Raw genomic sequence first — 21,983 nt, forward strand, 5'->3', positions numbered from 1 at the left:
GGGACAGAAGGTGCACATGTCATGCTGTCAGAGGCAGATGCTCAGTGTGGAGACTCAGGGGCCAGGGGACTTTTCACTTCTCCAGCCCCAACACGTCGAGCCTCCCTGTTAGCTCTGCCGCCTCCCGTGGGGTAAGTGTTAAGCCCCTGAAAATGAAGGGGTTACAAGTTCTGTTGTGAGGCCCTATAATAAAGGAGAGCTAATAAAGGCTTCGCCCCACCTTCTGACCGGATTGTAGAGATGAGTACCCCAATGGGACGGGGAGTGGTTGGAATGAGGAGAGGAAGAAGGCGGTGAAACCAGGGGATTGTGAGAGATAAGACAAGGATGCGGGCTTCAGGCTGTGACTAGGATGTGGCCGCGATCACAGTGGGGTTTCCCAGCATCCCCTGGTGAAATCTGCCCCAGTGCTTGGATTAAAAAGGACAGTAGTGGTGCACTGAAGAAGACCAGTGGTTGAGGCTTAGGTTAATTCACTCATTCCTTCCTCTATTTCATATTTATTGTTCTTCAGTGGTTACTAAAGATGTAAATATGAGTATTTATGTACCAGGCCCTGTCCTTGAGGAGCTCAAGGTCTAGTGGGAGGACTATAAATATGTAAATAAATGATGGCAACAGAGTGACAAGACCCTATGATAGGATGCACCGAAGTGTCTGAGGGGCAGAGACGTAGAGCAATTGATAATGCCAGGCAGGAATGCGGGGAGAGGGCCAGGAAAGCTTCAGAGTGGGGTTGAAATTTGAGCCAATTTGAGTACTAGGAGGGAACAGCTCTGTCATTCCTGGTTACTGTGTCATCTCAGGAAGCTGATTCCTTAGAGATACAGTGGAGATGATCACACTTATCTCAGAAGAAAGAGCTATGTGAAAAGTATGAGGATTTGCCAAGAAAAACATCCTGGGCCCCCATTGGACCAGGCCTAGTCCTTCTGCCCCTGCTGGCTGGCTGGAGCTCCGGCCCATCACCAGGCACCCTCCTGCCCCTCTTAGGGTTGGCAGAGGGTTCACGCACCTCTGAGTGCCAGCCAGAGAAGCAACTTGCGATGTCCTGGGTCTCCCAGCACCTCTTCCCAGCTTCCCCTGACCACAGGCTGAAGGTGTCTTAGCAAGGACAAGGCAGATGAATCCTCAAGTTGAAAACAGATCTGGACGGAGGGCAGGATGGGGTGGACATAATCACTACTTTTATTTGTCCTCGCACTGAGGATCATACTCCGGTCTCTCACATGGATCCCTGGGGAGCCAGTCCATGGAGCACAGCCGAGAGGCAGTCCAGGCTTAGTCAGAGCCACAGACCCTGGGTGAGGCTCCTGCTCTTCGGCTGCAGAGAGCTGCCTCCTGGCCTCTGAAGCCGATCCACCTGGGCCACCCTGAGGTCACAACTCCAGAAGACAGGAGGCAGGAAGAGGAAGTCTCTACTCTCCTTATCCACAGCGTTGTCTGTGCTGCTGGCCTGTCCCTGTTCCCAAATAAGAGCAGATGCCTGACAATGCCTCAATAAATATCCCTGCTGATTCAGTCTGAACTTAATTCATTTCCGCACCCCCGGCGTGAATGGTACCCTGTGCAGGGCAGAGACGAATGAGGCACTGTAATCAGTGCCAAGAGATTCAGGCCAGAAGCTTTGGTAACCTGGGCCCCCTGGCTCTCCCCTGCGGTGACCCCAGCTGCTCCTGTCCTTAGCCCAGTGCCCAGCTTCAGAACAAGTGGTCAAAAAAAAAAAAAAAAAAAAAAAAAAAAAATCCCATCTGCAGGCGCCGGAAGGGCAGCGCGCCCTCGCGTGGTAGGTGTTGGTATTGCCGGGATGCCTGCCTGACCCAAGCCTTTCAGGCTTTGAAAAAGAGCGTTTTGGGGATTCTGTCTTAGAACCACGCCAGGACATTTTAGGACTGAGTTCAATCCTGTCACTTTACAGATGGGGACAGGGATGCTATGGAGATCTGCCCAATATCCCAGAGGGGCGGAACAAGAAAGTAAGCCCCAGTTTTGGGGGCTCTCACTTGGTCTCTGGGCTGATCCAGTCAGATTCATTCTCAGGCCTTACAGAGACACTTTACATTGAAAAAAAGAAAAAGAAAAAACAGCCAAAAAGTAAACAAAAATTAAAAAGGGAACAGAGCAACTCCAGAGCTCACCACTGAGGACTCCAGGAGCCTGCACCGCCTTCCCTCCCGTCCCTTCCCTTCCCCTCTCCTCCCCTTCCCTTCCCTTCCCTTCCATGTTTGCTTCCCGGAAGCCTCAGCAAACACTCCCAGACAGCCTGTTTTGTGCTGGGCAACGCCATAGGTACTAGTTTTTTACCATGCCTTACAGGTGGACAAACACTTCCTTTGGAGAAATTTTACATAAGAGGGAGATGACATTTTCCACAATTTAGATCAGCCCAGGCCCAGGGTCCACCTTAAAAATATTAAATAATACAGCCTAGGGCCCACGCGAGTGCCCTGCTGGCCGGCCCTGGACTCTGCAGAGGGCTCCCTGGGGGTTCTCACCTGCAGCACCCTGGCAGGGAGGGACGGGGTTCCCATCCTCCCCATCTCACCTGGTGGAGACCCCTTGGTCCTTGGGTGAGGCTCTGCTTCCACACCCCCAGGCTGCTGTGCTCTGATGGAGTCTGAGATCGAGCCCACCTCCTTCATTTCATTTCTGAGGAACATGAGGCCAAAAGAAGGTGCTGCTGTCTAACGGCACCTGCCCAGAAGTCCCATCCTTATGGAACCAGGCTCCAGCCCCCCAGTGGCCCTTCATGTTATTTTGTGTTTCTGGTACACAGATCTGCTGGTGTGGGTTGGTGGCACTCCTGGCTGAGAACGTGTCTGCCAGTTCTGAGGCATGCACGTTTGCTGCGTTTCACTCTGAGCCAAGGCTAATAGGGGCCAATGCCCTTCAGGAAGTCATTCCCTTCAGGGATGGAACAATGGCTCTCCCCTCTAGAGGCATGACAGAGAGCCCTGCAGAGGTGCCTGTGCCTAAGAGAGACTTACTCTGTGCACTTCCAGAGGTCTGTCTGATTGCATTTAGAAAAGAAAAAAAACAAGAGTGAGTTTAGAAGAGGTTGCGAGAGGCCAAAGGCAAGATGACAAATATTCATTGCAACTTGAGCTGGGAATTGAGACTGTAGCCCCAAAGTGTACATTCTAGTGGGCTCTTTACAGCACCTCAGCTCATTCAGAAGCACACTGGACTCAGGCAGCGACAGAAACAGGAACACAGAGCATCTTCCCAAGCCACCTGTCAGTCAGGAAAAAGCTTGGCATGTGGTCTCTATCTCTCAGCACGTTTGTTTTTATTATTTTTTAAATTCCTTACTTGTAATTGGTGTTCACTACTATTGGAATTAGTATTCAACAAATTCAAGCAGGATCCAGAGAAAGGCAAAAGGCAGCTAAGCATTCAGGAATCTCCATGAACAGGGGCCCTGCCTTGCTCCAATTGCACAGAAATATGTTTTTTAGAAGGATCATAGAAGAATGAATGCTGACTGATAGGCATACTGAGAATGCCATTTATGAATTGCTAGCCTGGGGGAAATGTGCTTCACCTGATGATTTTCATTTTTCTTTCATTCCTAAAATGGACCTGCTTACCCCCTATTATACACACTATCAGCTTGTTGTATTAATAAATTGAAATAGCGTAAGAGTAAATGCTTGAAAACAACACTATCCTACTGAAATGTGACCTGTTGGTGTTATTGCTTGAGGAGGCATAAAGGGAAAAGGGATAAGGTGCATTACCATCTGGGTGAATAAGCAGGAGAAGGCTAGTGCTGGGTGTGGTAAGAAAGATGTCATCAGAAGGAAAACAGAGCAGCAGATTGGTTGCATTTATGTCTCTCTGAAAATCAGTTTGGAGCTCGGTTTCTAGTCAGTTCCCATCTCCAGATACTTAAGAGATATTCCCTTGACTAGGAAAGGAAAGTGGAATATCACAAAATTCTGAGACCCCTTTGAAAAGGCAGTACATGGAGAAGTAAGGAAGTTAAAAAAATGTCTTTTATCAGCTCTTCACCTTTGGTGCTAAATTCATTCAACAAATATTTATTGAACACCTACTATAAGCCACACATTCCTTTAAGCCCTTGGGATACTTCAACATCCCTGCCTTCCGGGAGCTTATATTTTAGATCCCAGATCTGCCATCCATCTCTGGTTTCTCTTTTCCTTCTTCATCTGTATTTGATACGCAACACCTATTCCAGGGATCAGAGCAAATGTCACGCTTTTTCTCACCAGAATGGCAGAAAAAAAGTCTGCAGATCCCTTGCTGCATATGGCAGATGGTATTTCTAATTCCCGGTGGAACATCCCCTATGGATACAACAGAAGAGAGTTGACATTTAACTCATATAGTGCAGAGAATAGAAGATGACCCCAGCCCGCTGCCAAGGGTTATATATTCTGACAAGGCTAAGTACTTTTGGACAAGCCCCAGTTTAACCGAACTTTGGCCTCTTAGCTTTAAAACAGGAACGATAATTTATATCTGAAATGTTGCCAGGAGGATGATAGGGTGTGTTTTATGAATGCTCACCTGGCCCATCTAGGCCCTAAAAAGTCCACACAGATCCTAAATGAGGGTCCTCGAGCCTCCCGGTGAGAGATGTGCACTAGAAGGAAACAAAGGGAGTTTTGGAAAACAGAAGTGGTCCAGAATAGGACAGGTCTTGGTCTCTAAGGAAATTAAAGGTATTAACCCATTCTCAACTTATGGCCCAATTTTTAGTTTTATGTCCTACAACGAAAAGGAGAAAATAAAACCTCTCTCCTCACCAGGACCTGTGGGCTTGTAAGTCACAAATGACCACCTAAATTTTTATAACAACAGGACATTGGGCAAGAGATGGTTGAAAGAAAGATCTTACTTATGTCAGATCTGCAAATGCTACGTACGATGACTTTAAACAGCAGCAACAACAGCAGCAACAACAACAGCACAGTGTTGGTCTTGCGTGATTAGGAAAACACTCTTGCACAACATCCAACCTCCAAACGGGGTCTAATCCCTGATTCTGTATCATCTCAGCCCTGTCACAGCTTGGAGGAGACAGCAAAGTGAAGAAGGTGGGGGGTCCACCTTTAGTCAAGACAGAAGAGCCCCCAGCCTGGAAGCGTGGAGACCTGGATTCTGGTCTTACTTCTTCCAATATCTCATTATGTCTCCTTAGACAACTCATTTAACTGGTTACACTTCAGCTTGCCCATCTGTAAAATGTGTTCTATGTGCAAGCAGGGGGAATATTATAAGTTTGAAGACCTACTATGACCATAAAGATTCATTGCACCATGGTAAATTAACACTTTCTCTGGACTTTGGTTTTCTTTTTGTAGAGCATGGGGCTGCTATAGACAATCTCTGATTCCCTTCCAGCTCTGACATTCATATGACTATAACTTCCTTCTGAAAACTTTTCTCAGACTGCAGTGAGTGCTTGCCACTTGTATCAGAGCAAGCATACCCCTTTGTCTTGTGTCAAGACCTTTATAACACTTATTTAGCTTTTAAAAAACTTCACAGGGGAGATCAAAATTGTCCAAGACTGAGCCCCACAGTGGCCCACCTGCATCCACTAACAACATACAGACACATCTACACACTGTCCATACAGACACACACATAAATGGAATTCCTGCACTACCTTCCCCAGGGCTAACCAGGAGACATTTACCTGAGTTTGTTTGGACCAAACAAAAGAGAACAGCAAACAGAAAAAAGACCTTCATGTTTTAAGGTCCGTTGAACCTCCCTGCCCTCCCGTGAAGGAGCACAAATATGATGAATGATGGAATGAAATGGAGCGGAGAAGGCACAAAATGGGACATTTATAGGTTTTTGGGAATACTGATCAGCATGAGCATATTTATCTGCTCTACTGAGTAAGGCTGTGGGCAGAAGGTTACTGACTACTCTTCCCTTTCTGCCTAAAAATAGACTGGCTTCCTGATATTCAGAGAAGCAGGGATCAACCAATAATTCCATATACGGATATTGAAGAGGAAAGTGAACCAACATTGAGGTGTGGCTACTTAGTGCCAAGCCCTGTGCTAGGTGCTAGAGACATGGTTGTGTAAAGATATATTTTCTGCCTTCAGAAAGCTGCGGTGTCCACCACAGTTGAGCAGATAATTAGCTTATTTCCCAGCAACATGACTCCCATCTACCAACAGAAACATAGGCCCACGTGCATTAGGAGACATGTGCACGAACGTTCATTGTAGCACATTTCCTTGCAGCCAAGAGAATGCAACCAAATAGTGTATTATGACAACAACAAAACACAATGTATTTCCACACCACAACAAGAATAGAAAAACAAGAAGATGTGTACAACAACGTGGATGAACCTCACAAACGCTATGCTGAAAGAAAAAAAAAAACAGAGACAACGTACCACATTATTCCAAAAATTTGGCAAAATTCACCTATTTATGAAGAGCCAGGATATTGTCTACTTTGGAGGAAGAGGACATGCTCTTCTCTCATTTGATGAAGTTATCCGCTGTCGGAGGTGACAGTCTAGTGAGGGATGCAGAGAGCCCCCGGCAACCACAGGGCTGTGTCATCCTGGGCTGGAGGGAGGTTTGTGGGCTCTGGGGTGCTGGGAGTTGTGAAAACAGAATCTGCAAGGACACGATATTTTTGTGTGTGGGTTTATATAATGTGTGGTATTAAAACACACAGTGGATAAATCTGCACATTTTGCCCCTATTTGATTTTAGTCCCAGGATCACTTAGATTTATTTCCCTTAAAATTCTCTTAAGCAAAAGGGGCAAGTGAGAAGGATGTCTTCTCTCCTATCCCCCTGGGCTTCATAACAATTGCTGTTAGCTTCTTATTAATCCTTCCAGAGGTGTCCCATGTGTATGGAAGCAGAGATGAATCCATACCCCATTTTTATGTAAGCAATAGCAGACTCTAGATATCATTCTGGACTTGCCTATATTACTTGTTATAGCTTGCAGAGCCTTGTTATTCTTCAGATTAGACACATCATATTTTCTTCAAGCTGTCTTCTGCGTTATTTAACCAGTCTACAACAACCATATCTCACCATGAGTCTTACCTAGACATGGATTTTGAAAAAGAGACATCAAGCAGTGGTCTTGGACTTTCTGCATGGGTGAACAGTGTGAGCATCTCAAAGAGGCAGGGGCTGGGTGTTCATTTTGAACTTTCCACCTCTGGAGAGATTAAGCAGGACAATGTGCCCTGGCAGGGACTCTCTGACTCACAGACCTTTCTGTACCTTGCAAAATCACCTTTGAAGTTAAGACTTTAGGGAAAATTGGGCACTCCAAGCTGCTTTTGACCCTCCACCAAAAAAAAAGAGAGAAAAAAAAAAGTTACCTTAAATGTTAGCTATGTACTAAGTAATTGTAAAATAGTTATGAATATTTGTGAGGGTCCAACTCAGTACTTTAAGAAATCGATTAAAATGTGAAATTCTTTCTCTGTGGAGCATTTGTTCTGAAGACATCTCTGAAATCTCTCAAAAAAAAAAAAAAAAAGAAAGAAAGAAAGAAAAGCAATTTCATTTGCCCCTTAGGGAAATTGGCTTCCACACCAAGATGATACCCTAAGTTCAAGGGTCCCAAGGAATAATGACAATTCTGAATGTATCCTGTGCATGGACAAAGTGGCTGTACGATACATGAACCATTGTTTGATAAAAACACTGAGTGTGGATATTCAAAAATTTGAGTCATTTTTTAAAAGTCACTAAGATGACTTATAGATAAAACAATAAAATGCATATTTTATACTTTACATTCATTCTTTCTATTTATACTACACGTTATTTGGAAAGGATCCAAGGTAAATGTGGATGGCATATTTTTTCTAGCAGTACAGTTACTAATCAAATCATTGTGAAATTATAGTTTAGAAAATTTCTGTATAGTTTGGAAACAATAAACTATGTTGGAAAATAAATTCATTTGGGGGAGAAATAAATTAATAGTATTAAATTTTATCATGTACCTTCTCCTCCAGACTTGAATCCATTTCCAAATCACAGACCCAGAAAGCAATCCCCACGGAACTATTTTGTGGATAATTCTGAAGAATAAGGCATATCATTTCAAAGAAATCAAACTAGAAAATCACGCTTATTGGCTAATTTTGTTAATATCTGGTTATAGGTTCATAGGTTCATATAATTGCAGAGTTGAAAGGAAATAGAGTTCAATTTGTGCCAACACACAAGCTAATTATTCTGATGTGCATCATACTCATGAATGGAAAAGAAGAGTGTAAGGAGAAGAGAGGAAAGATAACTTTGGGTTTGCAAACATTTGATAGTAGAAAAAATGTTTCTATATTTTAAAAAATATTGATACAATTCAACAACAAAAAGACAAACAACACACTTAAAAATGGACAAAGGACTTAAATAGATTTTTCCAAAGAAGAAATTCAAATGACCAGCAAGCACACGAAAGATGCTCAATATCATTAGTCATTAGAAACATGCAAATCAAAACCACAATGAAATATCACTTCACATCTACTAGGACAGTCATAAAAAAAATAAAACTTCAGAAGCAGTGGCTCACACCTGTAATCCCAGCACTTTGGGAGGCCAAGGCGGGTGGATCACAAGGTCAGGAGTTCGAGACCAGCCTGGCCAATATGGTGAAACCCCATCTCTACTAAAAATACAAAAATTAGCCGGGCAATTAGCTAGGCATGCTGGTGGGTGCCTGTAATCCCAGCTACTCAGGAGGCTGAGGCAGGAGAATCGCTTGAACCCGGGAGGCGGAAGTTGCAGTGAGCTGAGATCGGGCCACTGCACTCCAGCCTGGGCGCCAGAGCGAGACTCTGTCTCAAAATGAAACAAAACAAAACAAAATTTTTGAAAACAGCAAGTGTTGGTGAGAATGTGGAGACATTGTAACCTTCATATGTTGCTGCTGGGAATGTACAGTGGTGCAGCTGCTGTGGAAAAGTCTGGCAGTTCCTCAGAAAGTTAAACAATATGAGTTACCAATATGGCCTAGCAATTCAACTCCTAGGTGTATACATACAAGCGGTGAAAATAGGTGTTCAAACAGCAACCTGTACATGAGTGTAGTGTTCATAGCAGAATTAGTCACAAGTGTCAACGGTGGAAGCAATGCAAATGTGCATCAGTTGATGAATGTATAAGCAAAGTGTGGCGCATCCATACAATGCAATATTATTTAGTCACAAAAGGAAAAGAAGTAATGCCACATTCTCCAACATGGAGGAACTTTGAAAATCTCACATTAAGTAAAATAAGCTAGGCACAAAATACCACATATTGTATGATTCCATATATATGAAATGTGCACAGCTGGCAAATCCAGTGGCTGCTTACTGGTGTCTCCTTTTGGGATGATGAAAAAGTCAGCTGGGGTTTCTCCCCACTTTTTTATCCTCATGGACAATGCTAATGTTACTCCTCTTGCTCCGGAGGTTTTATTTATTTATGTATTTTGGGTTTTCAAGAAAGAGGCAGGGTTTGTGTTCATGAATTTAATCTCTCTTTATGAAGGCATACTAACTTTCCATTTTGGTCTTATTATTTATTTCCATTTTGGTCTTATCAACTAAGGGAGATTCCCTGGGTGCAGAAGGTCATTTCCCATGACCCAAAGAGGTAAAAATAAGCCAGGTGAGAGCAGGTCAAGCCTGCAGAGTTGCGGTGACGACCACATGTAGGGACAGGAAGAAAAGATTAGAAGCGCCCATTATTTATGTCACACGAGGTGCAATGGGGTGGAATTGACTGAGCCTGCCCACCTGTTCCTTGCCCCGCAAACCTCAGGCATTGAAGAGAAGACAGGCTTCCTGATGATGGGGACTCTCTGAGCAATGGATGAGTCAGAAGGATCAAATCCCGGGAAAAGCTGCTGGGGTGCAGGGGAGGGAAGGATGCTGCGCGGAAGGTGGGCGTGCAGAGTGGAATACAAGGCAGTCAGGTGTGCTGCAGTGCGTTCTGAGACAGCCTCCAGCAAGCTTCTGTCTAAGGACCTCTTCCCACTGCGTAAAACTGGTGGCCATAAAACCTCATCAGGGCTCAGGGGCCTGTACTAAAAAGCTGCTGTGAGAACAAAGAATGCATAACTAACGGAATTGGTGGCTCAGGACTGACCTTGAGAACCCATTATATTTATTCAGTTGTCTCCAAGCAGGATGGCACATTTGTTTTTTTAACGTCTGTAATTTTTATTTATTTTTATTTTATTTTACTTTAAGTTCTGGGATACATGTGCAGAACGTGCAGGTTTGTTACATAGATATGCATGTGCCATGGTGGTTTTCTGCACCCATCAACCCGTCATCTATATTCTAAGCCCCACATACATTAAGTATTTGTCCTAATGCTCTCCCTCCCCTTGTCCACAACCCAGCACTGCAAATATTATAATATCAAAGAATGAGAGGAAAAAAAAATCAGTTTCTACCTGTTTTTTATGAATCCCAGGTAGGCTCCAAAGTCTCCCTGGGTAACATGCTTTAAATGTCATATCATCTTTTTATAAAATTTTTATTTATTTTTACTCACCGCTATGCAAACAAGGAGTCTTATCATCTTACTGCCCAGGAAGCGCTTTCTTATGTTAACTCTGTGAGTTTCTGGATGCAACTTAAGTCTACAACAGAATGTCTTTGCTTATAATTAAGTGATATCTTTGTATATACATATATATGTTTATTTTTAGGCACATTAATTTTGTTCTTACAAATGTATATTTAACATTTAAGAGTAATGCAATAACTTGATGGTATTTTTAAAGGTGCAAATATCTAAAAATCACCAATAATTTTAACATTAGAAACTTTATTGTTTTTAAGCATACTTTTCACAGTTAATTTTATATCAAATATGTGAACATTGGTATCATAATTTTTAGGACATGTAAGTATTTTGAAAATGTTATGCATTTTGATGGTTTTTCACTGTGTTATATTTATTATACCTAAGGAATATGTAATATCTCTGAGTAGATTTATTGTAGTTTGCTAATATAGTGCTCCATTTTGAACTTTTTAGAGTTTTTTTTGGTTTCTCAAAGTATTTTTTTATTTCCCAGGATAATTTCTGAGCAGAATAACTGAAACAATGAGAACGAGTATTTTATATCTTACATACATATTAAGATTGCTTTACAAAGAGGTTATTTAAGTTACCAGTGCTTCTGGTTTTGTATGTGAGGACTAGTTTCATATACCTTCATTATCCGTGGGTATCAGCCCCGTGTGAGTGTGCCCATACATAAGTTGATTAAGGAACATCTTTGTTCAGAAAAAAAGCCTGGAAAGGTGGCATTCTGTAAAGGGCTCTGTGTACCTAGTTTCTTTCCTATGCTGAGCCCCAGGATCCTGATTCTTACCCAGATGCTTATATTTAGGTTGGTGCAAAAGTAATTGCGGTTTTGACCGTTATTTTCAATGGCAAAAACCACAATTACTTTTGTAGCAATCTAATACATAACAATATTTGCAGGAAGTTTTAATTTATGGGGATTAAAGAAAGCTGCAAAGAGAATAATGAGCTCAAAGTTTTGTGATGTGCAGTTTATTATTAATTAACTTGAGCCTAAAATAATGATCACTGATGAAGATTTTATGGACAGATTAGGCAAATATCATTATTTCTTCCCTATTTATTTATTAAAGACATCCATGAAACTTCTTTTAAGTAGAGATACCCTACAGAAAAGTTTAAGACAAACAGCAGATTCTACCCACATTCACTCTTTGCCACCTCTCACTCGCTTGCTTACCCTACCAAAGCAATCCTGCACAGCTGGTCTGCATGAGCAAGCAGATGTTAGCGGTCAGTGTAAAACTAGCAGAAGTGAAGTCAGCACTTTTAGAAACTGGAAGAGACTTAACTGAACTGGAATATGTGCGATTTCAATGGAAAAATGCAGTTTTAAAACAATCAATATGTATTTATTCCTAATGAGATTTGAGAAACTGTGGTCAGCAAAATGAGAATTAGATCCCATGAGAAAGTCACACGTTGAGAAAGAAAGGGACTATTTGCAAATATAAGACTATTTAAAAATAATTAAAAATCTAATAACTGAACTTCAAAATCCAAAAATAGTAAAAAAAAAAAAAAAAAATAGAAGGGCTCTACAGATATAAAAATAAATATCTGCAAAGTAGAGAACAAAAGGGAAAAGCATGAAAATTATGGTTGAAAGATAATGAGAGGATATTTCAAGGATAACTGGGGTTTAAGCAGGAGGCATTCCAGAGAAAGGGAAGATAATTGATGGAGGAAAGAATATGTAAGGTTAGATATAAAAGGAGCACATGTACATGGATAAGAATAAAGCGGTAACCTGGCCGGGCGCGGTGGCTCACGCCTGTAATTCCAGCACTTCGGGAGGCCGACGCGGACAGATCACCTGAGGTCGGGAGTTTGAGACCAGCCTGATCAACATGGAGAAACCTCGTCTCTACTAAAAATACAAAATTAGCCGGGCATGGTGGTAGACACCTGTAATCCCAGCTACTTAGGAAGGCTGAGGCAGGAGAATTGCTTGAACCTGGGAGAATCGCTTGAACCCGGGAGGTGGAGGTGGTGGTGAGCCAAAATCGCACCATTGCACTCCAGCCTGGGCAACAAGGGTGAAACTCTGTCTCAAAAAAAAAAAAAAAAAAGAGAATAAAGTAGTAACCCAGTAAAACTATTAAATTTTACAGAAGAGAAAAAATGATCAATAAACAAAAGAAAAAACGCTCAACTACACAGTAATCAAGGGTGTGCCAGACTGATATCTGCAAGATGGTGGACTAAGAGGCTCCAGCCTTTCCTTCCTTCCACGGATATACCAAAGAAATATCAACACACAGATCGGTTCTTTCTGAGAGAAAACCATGGACTAATTGAAAGACTACTACACATCAAGCAACTGAGAAAATATTCATGTGAAAACAGGTGGGAAGAGCTGAGACACACTCCCCGCACAATCCCTATCCCAGACATAACACCTTACAATTAATTGGTAAGGAAGTCCCAACTCCTAGCTTCTCCCTGAGGAGTGAAGGGTTTGGACCACACATATAGTACCCTGACCTTTATGCTTCCCACCCAGGGGTTTGGCTCCTAAATCACCCAGCTCAGGGTTGATAGAGCTGGGCATCTGCAGGTCTCCCTAAACCACAGACACCAAAGAGATGGTGGGACACAGATTTGCAAGCACTTTTGGCAGCTCTCTCCCTGGGCTCAGGCCAGAGCAGGCAGGTAAATGCCCACCTCCCGGTTTCTACCTGCAAGGGGTTTATCTACCCATTTTCCCATCTGCTGCCTGAGGGTTGACTTCTGGGTCTGTATCTGGGAGCCAAAGGGGCAGGGTGAACAGTAGACCTGTGGGAGCCTGAACAGAGGTATAGGTAGGCACTGCACCTGCTCCTCTCGACTAGCTCCAGCAAGAAATCCAGGTCTCCAGCTTCTCCCTTGAAGGAGAATACTTCAAGCACAGTTTTATAGCTGCCACCTGGGGGACTGGCTCCTAAATCACTTATCTCTAGAAGTTAATGTGAGGCAGGAGAATTGCAGAGGAAATTGGAAGTTGGATAAAGGATAGAGTGAATAAAAGCAGAAACAGAAGCAAGGTGAAGGGGTGGGTGAGCAAGAAGCAAGATAAAAGGCAGAAGTGAAGCAGCCAAAAGAAAAAGTGAGATAAAGAAGAGAGCAAGGACCCCATGGCCAGCAAGATCCAGATCAAACCAGGAAGGGGCAGCTCTTCAGAGATAGGCATGCGCATTAAAGAGAAAAAGTATCCTTAACAGGATGCTGTATGATAATCAGCTCATTAAAGCTCATGCATATGGACTACCTATCACGCATGTAGTTAAAATTATGGGATGGAGACAATTCACAAGCCCGCACAGGCTAAAGTAACTAAGCAACACACCTATCTATCAAAAGGCAGGCACCGGCAAAAGATCAGGCAGCCTTGCGAAGAGAAGGGGAAAAAACACATAAAAAGACCCAAGGTACACCGAAGCCATGCTAATCTCATTTGGCAGAAGTCAGCCCACTCTCCCCTCTCCGGGAATGTAATACTGCGCTTCACACACTTTTGCTGCTTGCTTTGCTGTCTGAGTATCACATCCAGTTCTTTGTTCAGGACACCAAAAGCCTGGAATTGCACAGCACCATCGGGTTATAAATGGGTCTCTGCATTTTGTGTCTTCTAAGGCCACAGAGAACAAATGGGTAGTTTTAAAGGGGCACAAGAGGACTTCCAGAGGGTATTCTTCCAGGTTTAGCACAAAGAGAACAGGCAGTAACTCCCAGCTCTCAGTATCTCCCCAGAAGGCATTTGCCTGCACACTCTCTCAGCTGCTGCTAGAGAACAGGGCTTCGAACTGGCCTGCAGGTAGGAGATGATGGGGCTGATGGAGAATGGGTTTGACCACACACCTGACACCTCAACTACATTTCACAGTACTTAGAATAGAATGGACTCCATTGCACAGTACCTAGAATAGAAGTAGGTATTCAAAAAATAGTTTTTAAATAAAAGAACAAATTATTTTAATTCTTTCTAATAAAAGTTTATGATATCCACATTTACTAGCACAAATTGTGTGATTTTGAAAATTCTGTTCATGTCAAGCTAAGTCATCTTCTGTAAGATCACAGGTAGCATTTTTGTCATTTATCTTGCCACAATAAAATATTTGAACTGTCTGGCACAAGTGGCAATATCTCCGCTCCCTGCTGCTCAGACACTTCCGCAAAAAACCTGCACCTGATTGGACAACGTGGCCCCGGAGAACAGGTAAGTGGCAGAGCTTTGTTTCTATATCAGCAACATCAGTTTTAATGTAAACAGCAGGCGTCTTTCTTTTTAGAGCAGTAGCCTACTTGTGTTTCCATATAATTACAGTATTCTTGGCAGAAGCCTTCACTTCTCCTGCAGTCAACAACTTTTAAATCTGATGCAGGTTCTGCATTAAAAAAAGAAAAAATCCAACATTAGCTTCTTAAGACCATCTCCAGAATCAAACAGTGGTCATTTGAGCCGTGAGGGACAGGGTGGGGGTGGCATGGATATGAAACAGCTTTCCATAGTTAATAGCTTCAAGTTCCAAACTAAAACATCAACTCCAGATATATAGCTCTGCCCCACTAAATCTCCTTTAACCAAAGGAAGGAATAATCCTGTCTCACAGGAATACTGTTAGACTAAATAACACACGCCTACTATTGCACCTGTTTATATTTGTTGTGTAATAATTGAGTTTTCTTTTTCCCTTCCCTTGGGAGGAGATCCAGATGAATGAGTCCTTTGGAACTGTGGGCCAATTAGAAAGGGATGGGAGGTTGGGTAGGATGCTGCAGGCATCAAATTCAGCAGGACTTTATTTGCTGGATGTCACAGCAATTTGCCAACACCCTCCTGTCTTTCTTGCTCTTGCCCACTGATCTGCTAACCTAGTTCTCCCTGTCTTAGGGTCAGCAATCAGCTTGGCATTAAAGAAGCATCTTGGAAACTACAGGCTCTTCCAGGCCCTTTTGGATTTGAAGCTGGTCCTGCCCAGGGGTTTGGGGGCTGACCAGAAGCCTGGCCCTTCTGGAAGAGTCCAGAAGAGTGGCTGTGGGCTCAATTGTCCCTTGCCATGTCCTGCTACCTCCTTGCCTGAGTAGACTGACAATACAGTCTATTCTCTGCCCCCATTCTCAGGAAGCATTTCCCAGACCTCAATGGACACCTGAAACTTAGTAGGTAGGTATTCAGTAAATTCCTTGAACGGGAACGACCTCCAAAGCTAAGGGCATGGGGCTGCAACCTGGCAGGAGGCCATGTTTCCACCAGTGTCTCCTCTGGCACCTGTTCTTGGAGGAAGCCAGCAATTACAGGTGTGGCTTCAGATAAATTGCCTTTTGGCCCCTCAATACTCCCACGTTCCACAAGGCCCTCAATGATCCAGCCCCAGGGGAAGCTGTGAGACCCCGTGGTCTCCCTGACAGGCAGGGCAGCCCAATGCACCCGCACCATGTCTTCCCCAAACAATGACTGCTCACCCACCCCGACCAGCACAGACATCTTCCCGTCTATTTGTTCCCTCTACGTCTCCCCAGTGGATGCACTTGTTGCACGTGTTGGTCCCTGACTCACCTTGGTAAGGTGGGGTGCGCGGTGGTAAGAGGTCCCGTTTCACTGCGTGGCGTAGCAGCTGAAACCCGTTTGTGCCTTGCCCAGGGGCTCTTTCCCTGAGTTCTCCGAGAGCCTCAGTGGCTGAGTGGTTCACATGTCTGGCTTGAGACGATCCTGTGCAAGTGGAAACACACGTCTGAGGATGCTCTGAGGCCTCCGCCTGGCAGACCCGTCAGCATGAGGCACCTACACTCTACCAGGTGAGTGAGCATGGGTGATTGGGTGGGGGAGTTGGGAGGGGTGCTAGTGTTCCGTGTGTGTGCACGTTTGTGCACATGCGTTGTATGCACCTATGTGTAGAGAGAGAAGGTGAATGAAGTGTAAGAAATGTATGCCATGAATGGTGAGTCTGAGCACCTCCTCAAAGCCAGCACAGCCAGAGAATTTATTTCAAGTGTCACTAATGCAGTTGTTAAGATTCCCTAAAATGTAATGTTCTTCTCTGTAAGGGAAAGGGGAATGTTAAAAGGATAAGAAAATGGAGTCGGGGAGGGACACTCTTCCCTGGGAAGCAAGTGCCATCAGCCAATTCAGAGTGCCATTTATGAACCCAGTTCAGAGACTCGTACCCAAAGCTCCACCAGGAATACATGCCCCAAGGACTTCATCTCTCCCTGTCCAGCCTGGACTCCCATACCTCAGATGACCATTGCAGAGAGATTCTGGCACCCAGACCCGGGTCACCTTTCCATTTTACCTGGAAACAGCAGGGCCACAAGGAGAAGGCTGGTGACGGACGGGAGCAATCGTTGCCTCATGTCTGCCAAGAGCACTGCAAGCCAGAAAGCACCCAGGGTGGGTGGGCAGGCAGCGGGGCTCCTTTGATGGAGTGAGGCTGGGTGTGTGGGCCCGGAGCGTGGGAAGAGCTGTGCTCCAGGATGACTTCTCATTCTCAAAGGACAATGTGGACACGCTACTATCCCACTGCTGGTGGAACAAACACTTGAGACACATATTTCAGGAAGTAAATAATACGCCTGAATGCCTTGGGTGGGTTTGGTGAATAAGGAAGAACAGAGAGAAACAGAAAGATGAAAGGCATGGAGGGGCAGAACAAACATAACTATCATAAAGTTGCCAATGTCCTCAAACGCTTCTCAAAAGCCCCCTAATGTTCATGAGAACAGGGACATAAATAAACTGCCATGTCGATTCTATCCTGTTGGCTGAGCGTTTTTATTTTAGTGTTAAAAAATCATGCATAAGACACACAACATAACAGGTAGGACCTGGTTTTACAAACTATCCCTTCCTGAAGTTATACAGAGAGTTCCAAGGCTGCTCAAAATGTTCTTTTCTTTTTCTTCTCCTCTCTGAGTCTCTCTCCCTGTTTCTTGGTCCCCTCCACTTCTCCTTCCTCACTTTGGACCCCCCTCCTTTCTATTTTAACTTATTTGAGTTGTCTTGATTTTTCTCTCCCCTTTCCATTCTCTTTACCCCCAGACACCTCCTGTTGATGTCACTGGGTCCAATTCAATTCTTTTAAAAAAGAAAAAAAAAATCTGTGTTTGAGTCTGGGTTTTCTCCTCTAGTAATATCCAAGCAGAGGACTTGTCTTCCCTTCTCCTTCATCTTTTTAAGCATTTTAACCAAGTGTGTGTTTCTTACTTGGCTGCATTAGCTCAGGTATGCATGTAACCCAGACAGTCTGCTCTGGACTTAACTAAAGTGAAGAAGGCTTTGGTTGAAGAGTTTTGTATTCACATAGCATCCAATGTAACATCAGTGATGTCTGGAAAAGATAGTGCTTATCTCATATGTCTCATTTGCATGTATATTTTAATCCAGACAGAGAAAACAACTTAGGTCATTTGTGTAAATAAAAATACTTACTCTCTACCTGGAGAAAGCTGGAAGCAAATGGAGAAAGAGGCAGCAATGACAATAGAGACCTGGGCATCCGCTGAAGCACCAGCAAAGGGCGGAAGGTTTGCAGCTGCGGACAGTTGCACATAGCAGCTGCCCTGGCAGCACAATGCGGAGGCCACTATCTTTTGGGTCTCAGGACAGATTCTCCACTGCAAAGCATGAGGTGCTGGTCAGGGAGAGCAGGAGCATCATTCACATCCTTTCACTTTAAGGAATTAGGAAGTCTTCCAATTCCAAGAGCACAGGGCAACACTGCGGAGATAGGTGACAACTGGCCCATGATAAGTTTCTTTAATCACTTACTGCATCAAATTCTGATAATTGGATGTTGGAAGAACATAGACAGTCAAGAAAGGAGGTAGACAGCTGCTCTACCTCAACCCTAAATGAAGATTTATTCGCTCATCTACATACTCTGGGTATTTTTTGTACTCTAGTTCAATAGCAACTTCTTACAGTTGTATTTGTAATTATTTAAACTTGGAATGTGGATCTTTTATAACAGTGATGGAAATTTTGGAGTATATTGGTAACTTATTTCTATATATTTTTATCTTCTCTATAAAAGGAAAGAAAACAAAAACAAGCCTATTCCACCATTCAGATATTAATAGTAATGAATCATTAATCAAAATCATGACTTAAAATATAACAGCATTTGAGTAATTACCACCCAGGTAACGGAATCTTCTTTGAAGTCGTTAGAATTATTTGAAATTATTTAAATGAAGAAACTGAGCCAAAAATAGTTAGATCTCACTTCCTTTGTCTACGTCTTGAGATAAAGTAAGCCCCCTCTTCCATGCTTCTGAAAAGAACAATCTTAAAAAAGAGCAGCCGGGAAAGCCTAGTTCTGCTCTTTGACAGGCAAAAGCTGGTGAAGTCGTAATAAAGGCAATTAATGTTACATCTGTCCTAACACAACAATGCTCTCAGCTCCTGTCCTCTTCTGCCAGATTTCTGTGTCCTAAAAAAATCTTTGAATAATTCTCTTGCTAAAAGCCACATCCATCCTGAGGGGGAGGATGGCAGAACCCATTATAGAATATTCTAATAATTGTTTCAAGTTTTTTTTGGTCCATTCAATCAATAAATCATATTCTTTTTTTTTTAAGCTGCTTAGTATGTGGTATCTTGATTCGTTTGGACTAAGTAGGTGGGCTAAAGTAAAATGATCAAGATTTTATTGTCAAATAAGAAGTTCTGCAAATACATATTCCTGAAGGATCTTATTGGAAATTGCACACATGTGCAGGGGGTAAGATTTTCCACATCGGCACATCCTCCTTCTTGCTTCCCAAGTAGCATCCTGGTAAATCCTGGAAAATATGAATGCGAGAAGGAAAACCCTATTGTAGCCCAGTTTGGAATCAGAAGTTCTCTGCAGAATCAAATTTAGACTCTTCTTTTGCATTACTAAATGACCCAGTGAAAGTTTCTCTGGAGGAGACTCACAGAAGAGCGAAGCAAAGATTCCTATGCAGATTTTCTTATTCTTAAGTCTGAGATTGTAACATGCTAACCAGTCTGTAAGACCAACTAGAATGCCATTTAACAGAGGCACAGATTCCCCTCTAGGGAAAATAACTGATATATGGAAAAGACACAAATATTAGAGTCTTCTTTGGAAAAAGCAGTCAGGAAGAATTACATGATAGGAGAGAAAACTGCTTTTGGATCGTGGTTAAAGAAGTAGCTTTGAGAATTGTGCAAAAATATTCTTTGGTATTTTGTTTCTTTTTCATGCACAGAATCACAAAATGAATTGTGTTTTCAGAAGTCGATTTGATCTGTAGCCATTTCAGCCATCCCAAGAATGCTCTTAAGGCAGCATATGAAAGAACACAGGAAATCCTTTCATGAGCGCTAAGGCATAAACACCATTTAGTTTTGGCAATAAAAACATGGTATTGTTATAAGTTTAAATAAATCTGTTGAGATTGCCTATTCTTTTTCTTGAGACGGAGTCTGGCATAGTTGCCCAAGCTGGAGTGCAGCGGCGCCATCTCAGCTCACTGCAACCTCCGCCTCCCGGGTTCAAGCGACTCTCCTGCCTCAGCCTCCTGAGTAGCTGGGATTACAGGTGCCTGCCACCGCGCCCAGCTAATTTTTGTATTTTTAGTAGAGATCGGGTTTTCACCATGTTGGCCAGGCTGGTCTTGAACTCCTGACCTCAAGTGATCCTCCCGCCTCTGCCTCCCAAAGTGCTGGGATTACAGGCGTGAGCCACCCTGCCTGGCCGAGGTTGGCAATTCTGACGAAACAATCATAACATTTTGGAACTGAAAACTGTCTTAGAGACCTAACCAATATTTTAAGAAGAGGAAATGGAGGATGAGTGAAAAAGCGATGTGTCTATATGTGTTAATTAAAGACTAAAGATCTGGAGGAGGCTATGCACTGCAGACACTATTAACAGAATGGAGTCCATGTAAATAAACAAAGGGGTGCTCAAAGTTAAAGGGAAAGGCAACAGATTTGTTTGGGGAAGAGCAGGAGTTCATGGTGGTCACAGACATAAGAAGAAATGTAGTTTTTCACGGGAATAGTATCTTTTCTCCACGGTGCCATGATGCTTTTATTATTTTGGGTGTAATTTCTCATAACTGGAAAGCATTTCAGCCCCTTCCCAGTCCTCAGAGGTTGACCATTTTTTTCTCTCGGATTCAGCCACAAAGGCAGCTCTACCACTCACCATGTGTCTGTCTTTGACTTTGTCATGTTGGGAAGACTCAGGACCCCACCTATTTTTACCCACAGGGCCCTCTGTGCCTATGAAACTGAGGTCCCAGCAGTCCTTGTGGACATATCACAATCTAAAATTCAGGGATAAGAAAATCTACATAGGAATCTCTGCTTCACTCACCTGTGAGACTCTTCCAGGCTAATTTTCTTTGGGTCATGTGGTAATGCAAGAGAAAGTTGATTCTATAGCAACTTCTGAGCACAGACTTGGCTGCAATATGTTTCCCCTTTACACAGTCATATTTTCCAGGATTTAATGGGATGTCTCTTGGGAGGCAAGAAAGAGAATATGCCAGTGTGGAAAACCTTAACTCCTGCACGTTGAAAATTTCAAGTTCTGCTCTTTTGGATATTTAAATAAGGACCTGGGTGGTGATTTGCTCACCCAGAGATTTTCTCTGTCAATCTCTGTCTCTCTCTCTCAACTTCAAATAATAAAAAACGCATAAATTAAAAAGTGAAAAATATCCAAACAATCCTTCCTTCTGTTGATTTTCATTAGGCACATTTCAAAGGGTTACTGATCATTCATTATGAACTACAGACTTCAGATCTGTATCCATCCTTTGGAGATAGAAGATAAGTAGCAATGTTATTGGGTTTCTGATTGTGTTTGTAGTGCATCAGGTACAAATTATTAAATATTTCCTGCCAATTCTGGAAACAATAAAATAGAACAATCTATCTTTGTTCTTTTACTGTAAAGCCCTGAAATTAAAGTAGTGCGACTTTGTGATGTCGTTAAGTGCTGAGGATAGCAGTTCATTAATATGACTATGTGAATTACACCTGAGGGCGGGAGGGGGCGCTGTTTCAGAATCCAGCCTCTTTAGAGAGCAAAACAATAGGACACCAGGACGGCAAGCCAAACCCAGGGCTCTTCAGTGAAGACCACGATACAAGGCTTTCTACGTTATCTGACAATGAGATAGCTTTGCTTTCTGCTTGTTCTTGTCTCTCTGGCCACTACGGCGGGTGGCGTTGATTAAAGTCTGTAGAAGTCCCTTGCTTTGCTCTATATTTACATTGGGAGGTACAAGATGGCCTCCTTGGCAAGGCATCAAATTACATTTTAAAAGGAGACAAAAAATAATTGTAGCACAGGGTCAGCAGTTGGATCTCTGTTTGTAAGTGTTGTTGGGCAGAATGGCCATACGGCAGGAGGGGAAATCAAGGTACAAGTCAAATAAGTCACCTTCCCAAGGTCCCCT

At 43.1% G+C, this 21,983-nt stretch overlaps 1 protein-coding gene across 7 annotated transcripts, besides 2 other annotated features; it reads right to left on the reverse strand.

The window, feature by feature from the left end:
* Positions 701 to 1,295: an enhancer, noted in NCBI's record as "H3K4me1 hESC enhancer chr8:7304810-7305404 (GRCh37/hg19 assembly coordinates)". NCBI's record gives its function as "activates a minimal SCP1, AML or CMV promoter by ChIP-STARR-seq in primed H9 embryonic stem cells {active_cell/tissue: H9 hESC(primed)}" and the evidence as "EXISTENCE:reporter gene assay evidence [ECO:0000049][PMID:30033119]".
* On the reverse strand, positions 1,167 to 16,955 carry SPAG11B (sperm associated antigen 11B). 7 transcript variants are annotated; one of them, NM_058200.4, is made up of 4 exons: positions 16,856 to 16,955; positions 16,120 to 16,272; positions 4,236 to 4,313; positions 1,167 to 1,462 (listed from the first exon to the last, which is right to left on the reverse strand). In NM_058200.4, exons 1-4 carry the CDS (start codon positions 16,914 to 16,916, stop codon positions 1,428 to 1,430), a joined length of 327 nt encoding a protein of 108 aa, NP_478107.2. In that variant the 5' UTR covers positions 16,917 to 16,955; the 3' UTR covers positions 1,167 to 1,427. The 7 variants fall into 7 exon arrangements, with proteins under 7 accessions (NP_478107.2, NP_478109.1, NP_057596.1 ...); NM_016512.5 differs by lacking the exon at positions 1,167 to 1,462 and adding an exon at positions 4,537 to 4,612 and having other exon boundaries at positions 4,016 to 4,313; NM_058202.4 differs by lacking the exon at positions 4,236 to 4,313.
* Positions 1,296 to 1,890: an enhancer, noted in NCBI's record as "H3K4me1 hESC enhancer chr8:7305405-7305999 (GRCh37/hg19 assembly coordinates)". NCBI's record gives its function as "activates a minimal SCP1, AML or CMV promoter by ChIP-STARR-seq in primed H9 embryonic stem cells {active_cell/tissue: H9 hESC(primed)}" and the evidence as "EXISTENCE:reporter gene assay evidence [ECO:0000049][PMID:30033119]".

Source organism: Homo sapiens, chromosome 8, assembly GCF_000001405.40.
Source record: "Homo sapiens chromosome 8, GRCh38.p14 Primary Assembly".
Lineage (NCBI taxonomy): Eukaryota > Metazoa > Chordata > Mammalia > Primates > Hominidae > Homo > Homo sapiens.

Bases quoted from the DNA above. Each gene is read 5' to 3' on its own strand.
- SPAG11B (NM_058201.4), bottom strand. From the start codon at position 16,916: ATGAGGCAACGATTGCTCCCGTCCGTCACCAGCCTTCTCCTTGTGGCC. The intron at 16,273-16,855 runs GTAAAATGGAAA...CCACTTGCACAG, and splicing joins TGTGGCCCTGCTGTTTCCAG to GATCGTCTCAAGCCAGACAT. The intron at 4,314-16,119 runs GTGAGTCAGGGA...TTGTATCCATAG, and splicing joins GCGCACCCCACCTTACCAAG to GGGATGTTCCACCGGGAATT.